Below are 16,384 nucleotides of genomic sequence, written 5' to 3' on the forward strand. Positions count from 1 at the left end.
CTAGTTCTAGATCCCTGAGGAATCGCCACACTGACTTCTACAATGGTTGAACTAGTTTACAGTCCCATGAATATTATAATTTTATAATATTTTCTAGAATGTAGAAGACTAGGATTTTAATTTCAGGTTTCCCATTAAGTAACTGAAATAACTATCCACTTGACTTCTGGAAACCTTAGTTTCCTCATTTATAAAATACAAATATCTAATTTGCATACCTTACAGTTAGTGAAAAGTCCAGGAAGAATCATCTTGTTAAACACTAAAGATCTGTAGAAATGTAAGCTACTGTTGTTGAAACATCACTAAGTGTTACCCTGGTTTTTTTTGTTTTTGTTTTTGTTTTTCTTTTTGCTAATAACAGTAGTGCATTTGTACTCAATTCCCCATTAGGAATTTAGAAATTTTATTTATTAAATATCTGACTGAATATAATAGATATAGTTAGAATGATGCAAATCACAGAGCCCCAGGTGACAAATAGCCCTCAAATCTTGTTTTCTGAGTCTATTTGGGTATACTGAAAAAGATGAAACAAACCCACTAGCCAGCCTACCTCCAGTATTCCTGAACAGATAGCTCTCCATTTTCCTCTGATGATTATGGCAGAGCCTTTGATACACAGCTGACCTTTCTTTTGATCTATTGACATCACTGAAAATGGTCTGCTTAATGAGTGGCCACATCAGTTTACATAAGGTTATTCTATTTAATACTTATTCTGTGGATTTTTGGCATTTCACTATTTCCATTTTCTGAAAACAATGTGGTCAATGAAAATTTTAAAACTGTGTCTTGACCTTGCCCCATGGGAAATTTGAGAAAGAAATTCTGTATACTATGGAGTCCAGAACTGAAAATGTTCTCCATGACTTCAGGGGAAGAGATTAAGAAATGAAGATGAAGAACATATGTCCTGCTTTTTTGGATGGAACCTTCATAATAGGTGAAATTTTTACAATTTTTAACACCTTTTCAGGGGAACTCCCAGGAGTCTTCAGAGATATATTTGATTATAAAATGAACTATTTTATAAATTTCACCTTTCAAAAATGGCACAAACTAGTTTCTACAAATTTTATACACATAATTGTAGCATATAATACATACTTACAGTTTAGTCTACAAAGAGATTGAGGTAACTTATAATTGCCTAACATAATTCAGCTAGTAGGTGGCAGAGTTAGAACCAAAATCTGTGTTATCTCTGTAACACTTTGCTGCTTCACAAGCCTGTAAACAGTTCTCACCGATGAGAAATGAATTAACTCTTACAGAGCAGAAAAAGGAATATTTAATACACCATAGGAGGTAATTTGCTGAATTAGAGTAACAAAAGCAGTGTTTTCCAGCTGTGTTACAGACTTCAAATTGCTTAACTGATTTTTTTAAGCTCCTATGAGGAGTTAGAGAGAGTAACTAGATGCAGATTTTTCTAATGAAGAAGCTGGAGGCAAAATATAAGTAATTTAAGTGATATTAAACAACACACCGGGTTTGACCTACTCAAGATAGCTTTTCCTAGTTAATAGTAAAACTGACAACCTTGGTAATGTTAGTAACTCTAAAGTATTGAGTGCTTACTATTTTTTAAAGAAAAGTGGAGCTGTACATTACAGTAGTTAAAGTGGTAAAAACAGATTTTATTCAGGAACTACTGTAATAGGGGAAGAGAGACCTTAGTATAGAACAGGGTTCAATTCTGAATACAGCATAGACCAGTGGGGATTTATAGCCAAAGAGCAAGGTGGCATTAATGGATGAAAAATTACGGAGATGAAAGAAACTTAAGGAGTGGGGAGATTGTGGTTAAGCCAACCTAAAATGATTCTTGCTCAAGACAGGCTGAGTGATGAGATACCAAGGCGGGTGTTGGAGAGTGCAGGGATGCGGAATTTGATTAGATACCGAGGGTGATCAAATATTGAAGGTGAACAGATAGTGAGGGTAGGGGGTTCTCTCTAAACTGACTGCAAGATTCTTACTACAACTGTGCTACACAAAATTGAAACCAAAGGTCAAGGCCTGGTTGAGAAGAGGATTCCGAGGAGCCTGACTTAAGTTTGGCCAAGGAGGGCATCTTGTCAGTTGCTCCTTTTGTTCAAGGAAATAAAGCATTATTCTCTTCTCTCAGCAATCTAAGTCCATCTTGTGTTCAGTTCCTTTTCAGTAAAGACGAGCTGAACCATCTGTTGAGACTTCTTAATGTCTTGAGATCATGGGTAGAACTTATGCCCAGTTCGTGTAGCTGTTCTTTCTATCTAAGTCACCACCTGAGTAACCAAGATCACCTACAACAGAACCTATGATGTTCTGGATACCTCTTTTGCTCTCATAGTGAGAGTGAGGTCAACTGGAGGGAGTGGGTGATTGTTTTAGAGATAACTTTAAAAAAGGAGAGAAATTGTGGGGAATCAAGTAGATGAAGGGATTAGTAAGATTAGAGAGGTAGCGAGATCCATTCCAGTTGGCTGGTAACAGCTAATAGGTTTGAGTTCCATAGACTGAATAAGAATCATTGAGCGCTAGCCTGGAGTCATAAGATAATTATCTGATGGCTGAAGGTGACCAAAGAATAAACATTTCGATGATTGAGAAAGGATTTTTTGGAGGTGGTCTGTGTGTGGTTGGGTTGGGTGAGAGAAATTAGGCTGAGAGGGGAAGTGGGGACATTTCCATTCGTATGAGAGATGTCCAGGAACCTGTAGTGGCTTGGAGGCATTATGTTACATTTAATGATGGCTGGAGAAGTGTAATGACAAATACTTGTTCCCAGAAAACAATTGATGGTAAAATTATGATGGGAGTGGACATGACCCTTGCAAGGATAGACTGGAGTATATTCAGAGGTTTTTCTCACAATGGGTATTTGTCTGGTTTAAAATGGTGGAAGAAAAGAGAGGGAAGGTATAGCAAAATAGGAATTCTGATTTCTCACAGGAATCTTGGAAATGCCAGGTGTGCGCACAGGAAAGGAAGCACAGTACCCTCAGTCTGTGGCGTTATGGGAAGTGGTGACTAGTCCAGCCCAGGCTTGCCAAAGGCTCTGTGGATGAATAGTCTTGCTAACAGATAAGGAAAAGGCAGAGCTGGGGGAGAACAAGGAGCTCCTAAATTTAGGGACAGAAAAATGTAAGAGAAGACTAATCTCAGATGAGGAAAAGTCATAGTGAAGGCTGTGAACCTTAAAGGCAATCATCAGTCTATGAGAAATTAGGTATCCACATCCTACAATAGCCCACAAGATCCAAAAACCTCTGTTATTTTGTTTCAGGAAGAGGAAAATGATGAATAGTAGAAGCTCCGCCTGTGAAGATAATTTTACCTGCAGCTGAAATACCATGACCCAGATATTGAACACACAGAATAATTAAACTTTTCGTCTAGAAACTTTGTGGTCTTTTCTTGCCATTGCCTTAAAGTATTCAGTGTCCTAAAGGGAGTTGTCATAAATGAAAGTGCATAGAAAGAGGTCATTTACATATTGGATTACAGTGGAGTCTTCTGGGAATTTTAAGTCCATCATATAGGTTCATGAGAAATATGTAGGGCCTTAGTAAATCGTTGGGGCATAACAGTCCAGGTGTATTGTTTATTTTCCCAGGTGAAGGCAAAGTAGTGAGATTCTTTATGAAGGGGAATATTATAAAAGGCAGAACACAGCCGAGAGCGGTGGCTCATGCCTGTAATTTCAGCACTTTGGGAGGCCGAGGCAGGCTGATCACAAGGTCAGGAGATCGAGACCATCTTGGCTAACATGGTGAAACCCCATCTCTACTAAAAATACAAAAAATTAGCTGGGCGTGGTGGCGGATGCCTGTAGTCACAGCTACTTGGGAGGCTGAGGTAGGAGAAAGGCGTGAACTCGGGAGGCAGAGCTTTCAGTGAGCTGAGATCAAGCCACTGTACTCCAGCCTGGGCAACAAGAGTGAGACTCTGTCTCAAAAAAAAAAAAAAAAAAAAAAAAAAAAAAGGCAGAACACAAATGAATCACCATGAAATATTGCATGTTGGAAGAGATAACAGATAGGATAGTGTTAGGATTAGGCACCAAGGGAAATCTTGATTTGACAGTGTAATTGATAGATCCTAGGAAGGAACTGATATCCTTTCCCACTTGACTTTTTAATAGCCAAATGGAAGTAATGCACGGATTAGAAGTGGGGACTCATGTCTAATAAGCCTCTCATTATCAGGGAGAGCAATCGCTAGTCCTTGTGGTTTTAAATGATATTGGGGAATCCTGGGGAGAGGCTTGGAAGGATCTGTTTCTACCTTATATGGGTTCTGTATCGCATATACCTTAGATAATTTTAATAGTTTGCTTAAATCTTTATTTAAGTGGATAGGTTGAAGTGGGCAAAGGAACTCCCTGCTTGGGGGAAGTCAGACAAAACCATTAGGGGACATAGACATGAAGAGGAAGACTCAGGGGTGGGTAGAAGCAGTCCAGCAGGAATTTTTGTACCTCCATTCATGGGAAGATACTTTCCACACAAGTTTACTGGGGTAGTGGAGCTGAGTAGAAAATTATGTTGACCTTTAAGAGGTCCCATAGAGATATGAGGATGAGCTGGGGGCAAAGCATCAAACCCCACCACTGGTAAAGTTTGGTGACTGTGGGGAAGGGGGCAGGAAGTGAGGTCATGTTGAGGGTAGATTGTGTTGTCCTGGTATCGATGAGAGACGTGGAGACCCTTTAACTTGTAGCATTATTTCTTCATGCAAGTTTAGTAGTAGTTGAGGGCATTGGGACATTTGCTTCTCTGGAGGAAAATAGACAATTCTCTGGTGAGGAGGGGGACTTGGGTTTTTCCCTCCTCTTGAGCACTGGGCAATTCCAGGCCCAGTGTCTTTTTTCCTCATGATATCAGCACATTGTTGAGATCAATGGGAGCCTTCCATTGTGGAGCTTGCTGTGAGTTAAAAATTTCAGGTTTTTCCAGTTGTTTTAACTGCAGTGCCACAAGCTTACATTGTGTATTTTCCAATGTTTTTGAAATACTATTTTCATATTATTGGGCTAATGTCTGGAGCCTAGACGTGTATACATTTTGTTAATTAATATTATTTTTCTGTAATGTGTCTTGGAGGTCTGGCCTGAAACTATTGACAAAGATTGCATGGCCTGAGCAGAGGCTGTTTGGAAAGTCAGTTCCACCCCTGAATTCTCTTTCCATGTTGTCTTTAATTGATGGTGATAGCCACAGTTTCATCAGTTTGTTATTTACAATGTTAGATATGTGACCAATCAATTTTAATGGGAGAGATTTGATGGATGGCTCCTAGTAATTTCTTACTTCCCTTGGGATATCAGGGGTAGCCTGAGACCCTTGAGTGCACCCAAGGAAGGAACTGAGATTCATCAGAAATAGTGGTCCATTTAGTTTTTTCAAAGCAAAGGGAGGCATTTCCAGGCCCAACCAACAGGCAGATAAGTTGATTTAAATCAGGGAATCCCAGAGAGTATGCACCTAGAATGATTCTAAATTGTTCAACAAACCTTTCCCTTTCCTTTCTGTGGTCAGGAAAGTATTTGGTGATAGGATGCAATTCAGGCCTAGACCAAGGTTTAAATGTTCTCTCTTCTATTAGCCTCACTTGGCAACAGGTACTGGCTGATCCTGGGCTTCATCTGAAGGAGATGGAGGCCAGTGAACCTTTTGGTTACAGGGAGGTGAGGGACTGGAGGAGGGGGCAGATGGTGGAAGAGAGTTTGGGAGAGGAGGCTATAAAGGAAAGCTGGGAGGGGAATATGGAGGTGCTGTTGAGAGCTCTAGGAACTTTACTGAGTCAGAAAAATTTTTCTACAGACAGTGTGAAAGAGCCTCAGTAGTTTGACTGAGATTTGAATTATTTAGCTGTTTTTTGGCTTCTTAATACCAAGTGAAATAAGCAGACCGCTGTGCATCCAAAAGCTTTGTTCCTTTTTGCTCTAGGGCTGTTTTTAGATGGACTAATTTAGGGATATACCAGGAGCCCCCACCATAGCCGAAGAGAGTTTTTGGTAAGGCTTTGCCAGTGAGAAAGCAAGCAGACAGTATTAGAACTATAGCGGCAAAGCAGGAGTTTGATAAGGTGAGGTTTCAATTGAGAAGTTCCCATGGGAGAAGCAGGATTAAACAGACAGAAGAGAGAGGCCTCATAAAGAGCAGGGAAAAAATTCCAGCCCAGGCATTGGGGAGTGGATCCCCACTGGAAACAAAGAGCCAGGAGAAGTCTTCATCCCAGGAGACAAAGATCCAGGAAGAATTTTCCAGCCAAGAGCCAGGCTCAGGAGTCAGGGAGTAAATGTCTTCTTGACGCAGTGAGCCCCAGAAAGAAAGACTTCTAGCTGAGTAGATGCCTTTCAAACAAAGAAGTCTGGGCCTCTAATCCAGCTTCAGACAATGTAATCAGAATCTTCATCAAAATCTGTCCTCACTGTGATTCGATGGACATTTATCTGGAGCACTGGATATTGGAATCACTCACCACCAGATACCCAAAAAGCAAGCAGACTGAAGACAAAGTCTTGGTGTGTGCTTAGAGATTGGTTATTGTGTCCAAGAGTCTAATGGTGGTTCAGATCCAGATCTAAATCATGGACCAAAAACTGTTAAAGAAAAATAAGAGATAGTAGTTAAAATGGTAAAAACAGATTTTATTCAGGAAAAGCTGCAATAGAAGAAGGGATTCCAGTATAGAACTGGGCTTAATTCCATATAGAGAGCATGCGCAAGTGGGGATTCCTAATTCCAAATAGCATGGACAAGAGAGCAGGGATGGGGGTCAGTGGATGAAAAATTACTAAGAGGAAATAAACGTCACGGGTAAGGGGATTCTGGTTAAACAGAACTAACAGGATCCTTGCTGCAGGTTGGCCAGGGTGATAAGATACCAAGGGTGGCAGTGAGGAATTTGATCAGATATTGAGGGTGATCTCAATATCTGGGGGGTTCTTTCTCAACTGACTTTGTAAGATTCCTGTTACAACTGGGTGATGTAAAGAGGAATACAGAAATCCAAAGCTCTAGGCCTAGTTGAGATGAGGATTCAGAAGAGCCTGACTAAAGTTTGGTCAAGGAGAGCATTTTATCACTGTGTGCAGGACGCTATACCAAGTACTTTGTGAAAATGAGCTAACTTAATCCCCAAGTCAACCCTATGTGATAGATATAACTCCTTTTTTACATAAAAGAGAATTGTTGCAAAGAAGTTAAGTAAACTGTCCAAGGTCACACAGCTAGCATGTAGTAGAGACAATATTTAAACTTGAGTATCTGACTTCAACCATTAGTATTTACTGCCTCCTGGACTCCTTGGGGCCTCCACATCTCCTTTGGTGTGTTGTTTGGTTAGAATATGTGTGATGTTCTAATGATCTCTAAGAGTTAAACTGTGTTTGAAGTTAAGAGTTAAAGGGAAGTATTTGGATCTATAGGTGACTGATTACAAATTTAGTTTAATAGATAGTAATTGAGTAATTTAGTTACATAAGAATTTAAAAGGGGGCACCATATATTAAATGCCTACAACATCACTCTGGTTATTAAAATTATACATTAGACTTTAAGGTAGTGACTCAAGACAACATAATCAATAGGTCAAAAAATTATCGCAAGAATATGTGCTAAGAAAAGGCCATAAGGTGGTTTCCTGACCTTTTCCTCCTGGCAGATTCACTTATATGTGTGACCCTGATGCTGAGCTTGAGTTTCTGTTAGTACTTATGATAACTAATCTTCATGGGACCTACTTCTAATGATTTTGGTATCCTAAATTCTGGGCACTGGTGAGTAATAATGAGGTCACTTTGTAGTTTAGCAGACTCTCACTTTGTTTCTTTTAATATGTAAATTAGAGTTCCAAGTTCTTGAAGGTAAGAAACACCTGCCACTAAAAAGAAGGTTAAAATGTCCTCCTGAAGAAATGTTGTATCTGGCTGTTATTAAAAAGCAAAAAATTAATGGGTGATGGCGAGATCGTGGAGAAAAGGGAATCCTTACACACTACTGGCGAGAATGCAAATCAGTTCAGCCCCTGAGGAAATCCCCCGTTTGGAGATTTCTCAAACTAAAATAGAATTACCATTCCACCCAGGAATCCCATTACTACGTATATACCCAAAGGAAAATAAATTGTTCTACCAAAAAGACACCTGTACTTTTATGTTTATCACAGCACTCCTCACAATAGCAAAGATATGAAATCAACCCAGGTACCCATCAAACGTGAATTAGATAAAGAAAATATGGTACATATACAACAAGGAATACTACACAGCCATAAAAAGAACAAAATCATGTCCTTTGCATCAGCATGGATGCAGCTGGAGGTCATTAACCTAAGTGAATTAACACAGGAACAGAAAATCAAATACTGCATGTTCTCACTTATAAGTGGGAGCTAAACATTGGGTACGCATGGACATAAATATGGGAATAATAGACACTGAGGACCTAGAGCCAGGAAAGAGGGAAAAGAAGAAGGGTTGAAAAATTACCTATTGGGTACTTTGTTCACTACTTGGGTGATGGGATCATTAAAAGCCCTAACAGCTTCACACAATATAACGGTATAACAAACCTGCATGTGTAATAAATTTAAAAATTAAAAATTTTTAAATGCCATATCCTTATGCTGATTTCTGTGCACATATACATGGCTCTTTTGCCTCATTTAGGTCAAGAAGATGTTCCTTTTTGAATACAAATCTCTCTCTAAAGGATACTTTTTAACCATTCTCACTTTATTGTTCAAGCCGACCTTGCATAATGAAGGTTTTGTTGCTTTGAAAATAGGAGTAGTAGGCCAGGCGTGATGGCTCACGCCTGTAATCTCAGCACTTTGGGAGGCTGAGGTGGGTGGATCACCTGAGGTTAAGAGTTCGAGACCAGCCTGGCCAACATGCAACATGGTCTCTACTAAAAATACAAAAACTAGCTGGGCTGGTGGAGGGCACTTGTAATCCCAGCTACTCAGGAGGCTGAGGCAGGAGAATGGCTTGAACCTGGGAGGCGGAGGTCTCAGTGAACCAAGATCACACCACTGCACTCCAGCTTGGGTGACAGAGTAAGACTCTGTCTCAAAAAAAAAAAAAATAGGAGTAATATTTAGTCTTGTGTTTTTTTCCTTGTAGGAAAGACTTTATTCTAAGGAAGACCGTGCAATGCACTGTCCATGTCAGCAAAGAGATGTTTATACCATAGTGTTTGAATAGATTTGGGCATAAATACTTTAAAAAATATAATAAGGTCACTAGACCCTGGGTGGGCTTGGGATAGAAGACAAAGTTGTGAAAGAGGCTCTGAGAACAGGGTTGGAACTGGATAAAGGTGTGCCTGCTTTACAGTTTTTCTTGAGTTCATCATTTAACATAATGCCTCTGAAAGTAACTTACTGCTGTCTTTAATAGAAATGCATATTGGTATATTGCCAGTGCCACAGCTGGGATGTCTGGACTAATTTGGAAGGTTGCAAACTGCCACGTACCCACCTTCAGACCTGTCTTGACTTTCTGGCCTTTCCCCACACTGAATGAATGGAGTGGGAGGGAAGAGCCTAGACAGAAACATATGTTTTCTATTTACTTCTTCCTACCTCTTTTTTTTTTTTGAGATGGGAGTTTCGCTTTTGTCACCCAGGCTGGAGTGCAATGGCGCAATCTTGGCTCACTGCAACCTCTGCCTCCCGGGTTCAAGTGACTCTCTTGCCTTAGCCTCCTGAGTAGCTGGGATTACAGGCATGCACCACCACACCCAGCTAATTTTTGTATTATTAGTAGAGATGGGGTTTCACCATGTTGGCCAGGCTGGTCTCGAACTCCTGACCTCAAGTGATCCATCCGCCTCGGCCTCCCAAAGTACTGGCGTGAGCCACCGTGCCCGGCCTTCCTACCTCTTTTCATACCCAATGCTTAGAGGTTTTCCTTTGAGTCGTGGATATGAAGACCTAGAAAGTATTTGCTAAAAAATATCTCCAAGTAAATACAGTCTCTGTACAATATTTGTTGAATTTGTAAATTTGAAAACCAGAGATGACAATTTGTTTGGTAAATACATGGATAGTTTGAAAGCTTAGTAAGATCCAAGTTTCATTTATTTTTATTTTTTTCTTGTTTCCAGTAGGCTTGGAAGAGTCCAAATTTTAGACATGTATACAAAGGCAGTAAATGAATTGGAAAGAAGAGGGAAGTTAATACTTTTAGCTTTTCTCTTTTAGAGAGATTAGCTTTCCATTATTTTAACAGAATAGCTTACCAATATGTTCTTTCCCTATTTTGTGATGAACGTAACTGAAATCTTGTATCTAATTAAATTCAATTCTTACCTAAAAGTTTTCACAAAAAAGATTATAGTTCATGTTTGTGACTAAAGAAACAAACAGAAGTTGTTTATAAAATGTTTGGTGGAAATTTTAATGTCTTTGTTTTCACCAGTGAAATTAATGATGACTTGAAAGTCTTTCTTCTTTCTTGAAAGTTTTCTTTTCTTTGAAATGCTATTTGTTTTTCTGGTTATTGGTTACTTGTGGACAGATAGCAGTTGTGAAGACATAAACTACTGATTGTTAAAAATTTCAGCATTCTCTTTTTAAAAGAAATCGGCAAGCCAATTCTAAAATTTATATGGAAATGCAAGGACGTAGAATAGCCAAAATAATCTTGAAAATGAACAAAGTAGGACTCACTTACCTTTGAAAGTTACTCTAAAGCTATTGTAATCAAGACTGTGTTATTGGCAAAAGGACAGACATATAGATCAGTGGGGTCCAGTTGGATCTGATCCAGTCAGATCCAGTTCCAAATATAGACCTACACATATGTGGTCAAATTTGATGAGGATGCTGAAGTGATTTAATGGGAAAAAGAAAGTGTCTTCAACATATGGTGTTCAGAAAGGTGTTTTTCCACATGCAGAATAAAAAAGAACTTTGATTCCTACCTTACACCACAGACAAAAATTAACTTGAGATGAATCAGGACCTAGACTTAAAAGCTAAAACATTACAATTTCTAAAGGACAACATAAAAATATCTTTGCAATTTATCTTAGGACACAGAGAGCACTACCATTAAAAAGTTGATAAATTGGACTTCATCAAAAATAAAAACACCTGCTCATCAGAAGATAACATCAAGTTGATAAGCCTTTGTTACAATTACATTTGACAAAAGGCTTGTGTCCAGAATATATAAAGAATTATTCAATTATGGAATAATTAAAAGAAGGCAATCAGCATTTTTAAATGGGCAAAAGATTTGAACAGACATTTCATAAAATAAGGAATATCACTGGTCAAAAAGCACATGAAAAAGTGCTCATGATCATTAGTCATCAGGGAAATGCAAAGTGAGATACCATTGGCTACCCACCAGAATGGCTAAAATTAGCAATATTGATCATACCAAATGTTGGGGAGAATGTGGAACTGTTAGTGATTGCTGGTGGGGGTATAAAATAGTACAACTACTCTGGAAAATGTTTGGCAGCAATTCCACTTCTATGTATTTATCCCAGAGAAATGAAAATATATACCTACAAAAGTCATATGTAAGAATGTTCATGGCCACTTGATTGAGAATAGCCAAAAACTGTAAAAACCCAGTGTGTATGGTAGGAAAAAACCAATTTTCTCCTACTGTACTCTCAACACAGAGAGTATAGCGACCAGATGTGTGGATTTTTCTCACACTGACCAATTCTCTGATGCTAGCCGGATAGCCTATATTCAATTCACTTCTGACACTAACTAGAGCTCGTGCAGATCTCTCATGGATTAAGAGCTCAGTCTCACAAGACTGTGCCCTACTTCATATACCAATTGCAAGCAGTAGGTTCCCAGGTCACCACAACTTCTGACCAGTTTGGCCACAAGTGGGAGGTTACCACAACCCCCTTCTCAGGTTCAGTAATGTGCTAGAGCAGCTCATAGAACTCAGGGAAACACTTATATTTATCAGTTTATTATAAAGGATGTTTTAAGGGATACAGGTGAACAGCCAAAGAAGTACTCTGGGTAAGATATGTAGGAAGCGGCATGGACCTTCCATGCCCTCTCTGGGTGTTCCACCCTCCTATCATCTCCATGTCTTCAGCATCCCAGATGCTTTCTAAACCCTGTAGTTTAGGGATTTTTATGGAGCCTTCATCATATAGGCTGAGCATTTATTAACTCATTTTTCAGCCCCCTCCTTTTCCTGGAGGATGGCATAGTGTGGCTGAAAGTTCCAGGCTTCTAATTATGGCTTGGTCTTTCTGGTGACCAGCCCCCATCTAGGAGCCCACCAAGAGTCACCTCATTAGAACAAAAGACATTCTTATCAATGCCCAGGGAGTTCCAAGGGATTAGCAACTCTGTTAGAAACTGGGGCCACAGACCAAATATTAGAACAGAAGATGCACCTAGCATCCCTCTTGCTCAGGAAATTACAAGAGTTTTGAGAACTCTCTGCGAGGAACCAGGGTCAGGGATCAAATACACATTTCTTATTGTATCACAATATCACATCCAGGTGCCCATCAGCAAGAGCCTAGACAAGCAATCTGGTATATCCATACAGTAGAACACTGCTCGGCAATAAAAAAGAACAAATTGCTGATACATGTAATGGCAAGGATAAATCTCAGAAGCATTAAAGGACATGAAAGAAGCCAGACACAAAATACTTTATACTGTATGATTCCATTGATATAAAGTTATAGAATAGTTAAAACTAATCTGTGGTAACAAAAATCGGATCAGTAGTTGCTTCTGGTTGTGGAGGGAGGGGAATGTTGACTGAGAAGAAGCAAGAGGGAATTCTACAGGTTGATAGAAATGTTCTATCTTCTGGTAGGGGTGTGGGTTATATAGGTATAGTCACTTACCCAAACTGATCAAACTATAGACTTAAGATATCTGCATTTCACTATATTTAAATTATAACCTCAAATTAAAAAATCTCACACAAAAAATAGCAAGGTATTTTCCTATCTCTTATTCTGTCTCTCTTTCTTATTCTCTTAAAGTATTGGACAGCCCAGTCCCACTATACTGAGGCAATTTTTGAAAGAAAATAAAATTTATTACTTTTATTATCTTTTAATGTATCCACTATACTCTATATAGGGCATCATTTAAACTCTTTCTCAGTCTTTGTTGTTGTTGTTACAGTGAAGAAGAAAAGCTATCCAGAAGAACAAAATAGCACAGCCGTGTAAACTTACAATGATTTGGCAAGTTTTTGAAGTTATTTAATCCTGATAAGTTAAAATCCCTTGAAGCATATTTATACATTCATCTTTCCAAACAGCTACCGCTTATTTGCTCTTTCATTCAAGTGAAGGTTATTGAGCACCTCCTATGAGTAGATGTTTTATCAGATACTGAGTAGGCATGCTACGATGAGTACGCAACCAAGTCCCTGCCCTTAACAGCATTCCTAGTTTAGAAGTGATAAATACAAAAATAAATTCCATTGCAACAAGAAAGGTACAGCACCGTACAAACTGCTGCTGTGCGTTCTTTTGAGGAAGCAATGTCTTCTGCCTTGGGTGCTTGGGAAGATTCCACAGAGGAAGTGACATTTGAGCCAGTTTGTATGAATAGTTAGAGTTGTGGATAGGAGTTGGAAGAAGGGGGACATTTTAAGAAGATGACTAGAAATGTAATTGAATAGTTTAGTGAGTCTTTTATCCTCCTTAAACCTTTAGGTAAAGGTTCTGTTAGTATCTACTGAAATAGAAGTCTTTTGCAGTAGCATAGTCAGTGTTTAAACTAGGACACCAAATATTTTCCATTTTTTCCCTCACCAATAGCAGCTAATATTTATTGAGAACAAAGGATGTGACAGGTACTCTGCTTAATGTTTTAATTTAATTTAATATAATCCCCATAGCAATTTAATGCATTAATATTACTGTCCCTATAGATTAGGATAATTGAGGATTGAAGTAATATCCTTTATAAATGGACAAGCTGGGGATTCTTTCCCAGGTTTCTCTGCCTCCAAAGCCTGGGATCTTTAAAAAGCCTACTCTGTGTGTGTTGCTCTTAGTATGAGCCCAGAGAAAGCAAGCCAAGGGCAACTCTGAAGTGTCTTGCGGTCACTTAAAAGAGGGGGGATTTACCTGTTTTCCAAAATATGGCCTGCCCACCTTTTGTATTTAAGTTTCAGTTCATTGCCAATATGTATAATTATTTATAAACTCAAAATAATCTGTTTTATTTTTATTTCTATCTACATGATACTTTAATTTCATGTATGAAAAATTGCCAAGTAATCATTCTCTAAGCTTTCTACAGTATCCATTTTATAAGTTAAAGAATCATAGGAGTAAAAACTATAAGCTCTTTATAGCCATTTCACTCTAGTTATTAGAGTGAGAACCTTGAAGATTTTGCCCTTTGAAAATGACTTGTTATTTGGGCAATCTGGCTTCTCACTATTTAACAAGTGTTGCTTAAAGTATCGTGTAGGAACATTTGATGTGCTCCACAGCCACTCACAGCTTCTGATAATTCTGTTTGTGCCAGCCTTGAGAGATCACCGAGTGGTAGTTTAAGATTGTGCTCTAGTATAAAAGTGGCAACGTTTGTCTTTTAAACAAACATATTTTTTTCAGAGTAGAAGATAAATTTTTGACTAAATCAGTCATTTGCCATACTCTAAAATTCATTTTAGAAACTTGGTTTTAGTTTTTGCCCAAATGACCACTTAACATGGGACACCCACCCTAACCCCTACCTCTTTCCCAGGAAAGTTAGATTTTTGTCCAAGATTCCACCAGTATTGAATATTTGCTCTTGCCAGATATCTTGTCAAAGGTACATTGTCTGCTTTTGGTTGACCAATGGGGTGTGGGTTGTTATGCCAGATGAGTGTCACCTAGTAGTGGAATTAGAAAATCATCAACCAAGGGCCCGGCATAGTGGCTCACATCTGCAATCCCAGGGCTTTAGGAGGCCAAGGTGGGAGGATTGCTTGAGCCCAGGAGTTTGAGACCAGCCTGGGCAACATAGCAAGACCTTGTCTGGTGACACACACCTGTAGTCCTAGTCACCCAGGAGGCTGAGGTGGGAAGATCACTTGAGCCCAGGAGTTCTATGAGCTGCTCTAGCACATTACTGAACCTGAGAAGGGGGTTGTGGTAACCTCCCACTTGTGGCCAAACTGGTCAGAAGTTGTGGTGACCTGGGAACCTACTGCTTGCAATTGGTATATGAAGTAGGGCACAGTCTTGTGTGACTGAGCTCTTTTTTTTTTTTTTTTTTTTTTTTGAGACGGAGTCTCGCTCTGTCGCCCAGGCTGGAGTGCAGTGGCGCGATCTCGGCTCACTGCAAGCTCCGCCTCCCGGGTTCACGCCATTCTCCTGCCTCAGCCTCCCGAGTAGCTGGGACTACAGGCACCCGCTACCACACCCGGCTAATTTTTTGTATTTTTAGTAGAGACGGGGTTTCACCGTGTTAGCCAGGATGGTCTCGATCTCCTGACCTCGTGATCCGCCCGCCTCGGCCTCCCAAAGTGCTGGGATTACAGGCGTGAGCCACCGCGCCCGGCCTGAGCTCTTAATCCATGAGAGATCTGCACGAGCTCCAGTTAGTGTCAGAAGTGAATTGAATATAGCCCACATTCTTTCCATAATACCACACTTCCTTAGTAATAAGAAATAACAAGATATTTAAAAATAAGAACTTCCAGTTAAATCTTTTTAGGACATAACTTCTCTCTTTCAGACTCCGTTTTAAATGACACTTCATTTTGTGGTCCAAAATCAGAAGTAATCTCTTCTTCCTACATATTTCAATAGCATTTTACCTATACTTATACCTAGACCTCTCTAGAAGATTTATCTTCATAACATATTTGATTTTTATAGCACTTTACTTCTTTTATGACACATTATCATGCTATTTTCTATTAATCACGCATTCACATAGGTGATTAGTTCCTCTAGGACCATAAACTCCTTGAGGTAAGATCTGTCTATTGGATCTTTGCACCCACCTCAGTACCAGCATGCATGAAGAAGAACATGTGAAGTACTCCTTGGTCTACTATAGCATTAGGAAGGCTATCAACCCGTTATTCTGCTTCCATTAAATGTTTTCCAATGCCTGATGGTTAGTGACTTTTTAAATTTAATTTTTAATTTTTTTTAGAGTCAGAATATTGCTCTGTTGCCCTGACTGCAATGCCACGATCATAGCTCACTGCCTCAGGCTCCTGAGTAGCTGAGATGACAGGTGCATGCCACCACACACAGCTAATATTTAATTTTTTTGTAGAGATGGGTTTTGGAATCAGACTTGTCTGTACATGTCTACCATTTAATAACTGTTGTACATCACATTGCTTCATTCTTTGAACTTCAGTTTTCTCAAGTGTAGCATCATAGAGGAGTTGTGATTATCTAAATGA

General features: G+C 39.3%; 1 protein-coding gene across 6 annotated transcripts in view; it reads left to right on the top strand.

The window, feature by feature from the left end:
* PRIM2 (DNA primase subunit 2) overlaps nucleotides 1–16,384 on the top strand; it is a 425,311-nt gene that overhangs the window by 362,182 nt on the left and 46,745 nt on the right. The window contains exon 11 of one of the 6 annotated variants that reach the window (XM_047418990.1): nucleotides 3,275–3,697. The exons of the other annotated variants lie outside the window; for them this stretch is intronic. Coding sequence (XP_047274946.1) covers nucleotides 3,275–3,295 — 21 coding nt within the window. The 3' untranslated portion in view covers nucleotides 3,296–3,697. Of the gene's footprint in view, nucleotides 1–3,274; nucleotides 3,698–16,384 lie in introns of those variants that run through there. 6 annotated transcript variants of the gene reach the window in all.

This window comes from Homo sapiens, chromosome 6, assembly GCF_000001405.40.
Source record: "Homo sapiens chromosome 6, GRCh38.p14 Primary Assembly".
In the NCBI taxonomy this organism is placed as follows: domain Eukaryota; kingdom Metazoa; phylum Chordata; class Mammalia; order Primates; family Hominidae; genus Homo; species Homo sapiens.